Source organism: Homo sapiens, chromosome 9, assembly GCF_000001405.40.
Source record: "Homo sapiens chromosome 9, GRCh38.p14 Primary Assembly".
Lineage (NCBI taxonomy): Eukaryota > Metazoa > Chordata > Mammalia > Primates > Hominidae > Homo > Homo sapiens.
The window spans coordinates 13747262-13751909 of NC_000009.12; the positions used below are offsets into that span (position 1 = coordinate 13747262).

Genomic DNA, 4648 nt, shown 5'->3' on the forward strand with positions numbered 1-4648 from the left:
CCAGTGGGGGTATTTTTCGTCCCCTTTCTTGTCCAACCAGTGTCACTGTCTTGCCTGACCTCAGTGTCACAGGGCCTTCTGGATGAGGAAAGAGGAGCATAGTGGTCTGAGGGCCCTGGCTTTGCTGGCTGAAGGAATCAAGGGCAATGGGATCCTGTGTTCTTTTCCTTGGACTTTAAAATTTTTTTTCTTTTTTTAAGACAGACAGGGTCTCACTCTTTTGCCCAGGCTTGAGTGCAGTGGCACAATCACGACTCACAGCAGCCTCTACCTCCCGCCTTAGCCCCCCGGAGAGTTGGGACTGCAGGCACACACCACCATGCCCAGCTAATTTTTGTATGTTTTGTAGAGACAGGGTTTCACCATGTTGCCTAGGCTAATCTTGAACTCTTGAGCTCAAGCCATCTGCTGATCTTGGCCTCTCAAAATGCTGGGATTACAGATGTGAGCCACTGTACTGGCCAACTTGAAAACCTAATGTGCACCAGAAGCATCTGGAAAATTTGTTAACAAAAATATAATTGCACAGATTCCACCTCTGGATACTCTGATTCAGTAGTATGTGTTGAGGTCTAAGAATCTGCATTTTTTAAATATATTTTTTATTTTTTTAAATTATACTTTAAGTTCTAGGGTACATGTGCACAATGTGCAGGTTTGTTACATAGGTATACATGTGCCATGTTGGTTTGCTGCACCCTTCAACTCGTCATTTACATTAGGTATTTCTCCTAACCCTATCCCTCCCCAAACCCCAACAGGCCCCAGTGTATGATGTTCCCCTCCCTGTGCCCATGTGTTTTCATTGTTCAACTCCCACTTATGAGTGAGAATATGCAGTGTTTGGTTTTCTGTCCTTGTGATATTTTGCTGAGAATGATGGTTTCCAACTTCATCCATGGCCCTGCAAAGGACATGAACTCGTCCTTTTTTATGGCTGCATAGTATTCCATGCTGTATATGTGCCACATTTTCTTTATCCAGTCTATTATTGATGGACATCTGGGTTGGTTCCATGTCTTTGCTATTATGAATAGTGCCGCAATAAACGTATGTGTGCATGTGTCTTTATAGTTACATGATTTAGAGACCTTTGGGTATATACCCAGTAATGGGATTGCTGGGTCAAATGGTATTTCTAATTCTAGATCCTTGAGGAATCACCACGCTGTCTTCCACAATGGTTGAACTAATTTACTCTCCCACCAACAGTGTAAAAGCATTCCTATTTCTCCAGTATCTATTGTTTCCTGACTTTTTAATGATCACCATTCTAACTGCTATGAGATGGTATCTCACTGTGGTTTTGATTTGCATTTCTTTGATGACCAGTGATGATAAGCATTTTTCATAAGTTTGTTGGCTGCATAAATGTCCTCTTTTGAGAAGTGTCTGTTCCTATCCTTTGCCCACTTTTTGATGTTTTTTTTTTCTTGTAAATTTGTTTAAGTTTTTTGAAGATTCTGGCTATTAGCCCTTTGTCAGATGGATAGATTGCAAAAATTTTCTCCCGTTCTGTAGGTTGCCTGTTCACTCTGATGATAGTTTCTTTTCCCGTGCAGAAGCTCTTTAGTTTAATTAGATGCCATTTGTCAATTTTGGCTTTTGTTGCCATTGCTTTTGGTGTTTTAGTTATTAAGTCTTTGCCCATGCCTATGTCCTGAATGGTATTGCCTAGGTTTTATTCTAGGGCTTTTGTGGTTTTAGGTCTTACATTTAAGTCTTTACTCCATCTTGAATTAATTTTTGTATAAGGTGTAAGGAAGGGATCCAGTTTCAGCTTTCTACCTATGGCTAGCCAGTTTTCCCAGCACCATTTCTTAAATAGGGAATCCTTTTCCCATTGCTTGTTTTTGTCAGGTTTGTCAAAAATCAAATGGTTGTAGATGTGTGGGGTTATTTCTGAGGCCTCTGATCTGTTCCATTGGTCTATATCTCTGTTTTGGTAGCAGTAACATACTATTTTGGTTACTGTAGCCTTGTAGTATAGTTTGAAGTCAGGTAGCATGATGCCTCCAGCTTTGTTCTTTTGGCTTAGGATTGTCTTGGCTATGAGGGCTCTTTTTTGGTTCCATATAAACTTTAAAGTAGTTTTTTCCAATTCTGTGAAGAAAGTCATTGGTAGCTTGATGGGGATGGCATTGAATCTATAAATTACATTGAGCAGTATGGCCATTTTCACGATGTTGATTCTTCTATCCATGATCATGGAATGTTCTTCCATTTGTTTGTGTCCTCTTTTATTTCCTTGAGCAGTGGTTTGTAGCTCTGCTTGAAGAGGTCCCTTCACATACCTTGTAAGTTGGATTCCTAGGTATTTTATTCTCTTAGAATCTGCATTTTAATAAGCACCTTCCCTCAATCTAGTCGTTATGCAATATTAGGATCACATGTTTGAAACATTGATTAGATCTTTCAATTACAGTAATGCTTTAAATAGCATGGCATTTGGGGGAGCACTTTTTAGGAAGGTGTGAAGCACAGCATTTGGTATGCACTGGGGGCCTGGCCTCATTTGCTTAATGCATGGTATGACTTTAGGACGACTCTTGTCATCTTGATGACATTGTTTAGTGTACATTGCAGATGGAATATTTTCTCTATTCCCTCCAGCAGTCTGTTTAGGGCTGGAACCAAGTGATCATAAAATATTGCATGGAATTTGAAAGTTATTCCATTTAACTCCTCATATTGGAGATCACGGATAGAGCAAAATGTGTGGGGCTCATATCACCTGTATGTATGATTATGTGCGCAACTCAGAAATATGGGGCCTTGAGCAAGAAAGTGCATTGTGGGTGGTGCTTTGTAAGTAGCATAACACAAAACACATAAGAAAACTATATATGTGTATGTGCACGCGTGTATGTGGTGAGTTAAGCTGTTTGGCACTTAATGGTTTGGACCTATACCAAAGGCAAACCACTGGAGAAAATACTTGCCATTTCAAGGACTGCATAAGGTGATGGAATTTCCTCTATGAGGCATAAATTTCACTCTTGCTGCCCAGCTGGCTGATTGTTCAAATTCAGATTCAACGAACACATATTTAGAGAAGGAGGGAAGAGGAGGAGATGAGTAATATCAAGCTGTGCAGATAAGAAGGCCAGGGCTAAGTCTTTGAATTTGTGCACAATAGAATGAATACCTTTTATCCATTCGCCCCACTAAACACCACCACCAGGAAAATCATTTTCCAATTAGTCAGCAGGTTTCAGCGTCATTACCTTTGAGATCAGATTTGCTACCATTCAAAAACGCATCAGAGGCAGTGGAGGAAGAGTTAAGCATCATTCCTGGCATGCGAGGTCTGGGAGGAGGTGAAATTAGATTAGCTGCAGGAAAACGGGAGGGTTTACATTACCAGAGGGGCTCTACCTGGCTCCAGGCTTAACAGTGAACAAGGCTTTCAGCATATGGCATTACAATGGATTAGTGATCAAGTACGATTAATCCTAATAGATCGTCTTTTGAACCTCAGTGGCTTGTTAGGTGAGAAAAAATTGTCTGTCCCCAAAGTGTCAGGTGAAACTCTCATTTGAGGTAAGACTGCCATGTGGAGATGGGTCTCCATCTGGTGGCTTCCTTTTGTGAAACTCCACCAGAAGGTGTTTTAATGAGGCTTTTATAGCAGGCACCACCTGCCACTAATCTTCCCCTCTAAAAAGGTGTAATTGAGGGTTGGTTTTACAGTATGGCTCATATCCTAACCTTGGGAATTCATCAAGAAATGCAAATCTGGGTGGGACGGTGTAATCATGAAATGCCATTTTGGCTTTTGGTTTAGACTGAAGTAGTTATAGAAATTTGTGGTGGGCTAATTACAACCAGCTATATAGTAGCTTCCCCTTTTCAGTTAGATCAATACGTGTGTCATCTCAGAATTAAATAACCAAGTTGATGGTGACCATATGTGTTCATTCAATTTTTTGCACATGTAAAGAGTTGCAAGGCTGCTAGTGGTTCACACAATTTAAAGGTTTCATTTACACTATTAAGGTTTAACTGGTTTGAATTCACTGCACATTCGTCCTCTTAGTAGATGCTTCAGTTCTACAATGCATTACTTCAATGAGACATGAGCAGATTACAAAATCACCGGCTCATTTTCTATCTATGAGACCTGGGGAGTAGAGGTATTTTTCTTTATGTCTTAAGATACAGATTTCTGTTACACTGCTATGCTGGCAGGTTAGTTATTGATTATGCTGACATTTCTACCCAGGACTTCAAAATATAAGACGCTGTAGAAGATGGAGTATTATAGAACTTTGATTTTTTAATTCAACATGAGTTAAGCTCTTACTATATACTAGTTAATGTTGCTACAGATTAGGAAATATTATTATTAACAGTAACAACAATAATATTACACAGACTCTGCTTCCCAATAGTGTGGTATCATTTTGTTTTCATTCTTGTGCTCCTCAGAACATTTTTGAAAATCATTTCCTTTTGCTAGTACCATCTTAGAATAATATGTTAAGAAACATTTCAGCTATACATAATCAAATCAGTAAAATAGTATATATACTTAGATAAATTTCAATATTTGATGTTCATGTATACTCCATTTTAAAAGTCAAAGAAATGCATGGCTCCTGTTTACTTGCCTTTCAATTACTAGTTTAATGATAGAGTACTGCAA

At 39.2% G+C, this 4648-nt stretch overlaps 1 annotated feature.

Moving 5' to 3' along the window:
• Window positions 2855–4138: an enhancer, noted in NCBI's record as "VISTA enhancer hs852". NCBI's record gives its function as "enhancer in: forebrain[4/6] | facial mesenchyme[3/6]" and the evidence as "EXISTENCE:transgenic organism evidence [ECO:0001131][PMID:17130149]".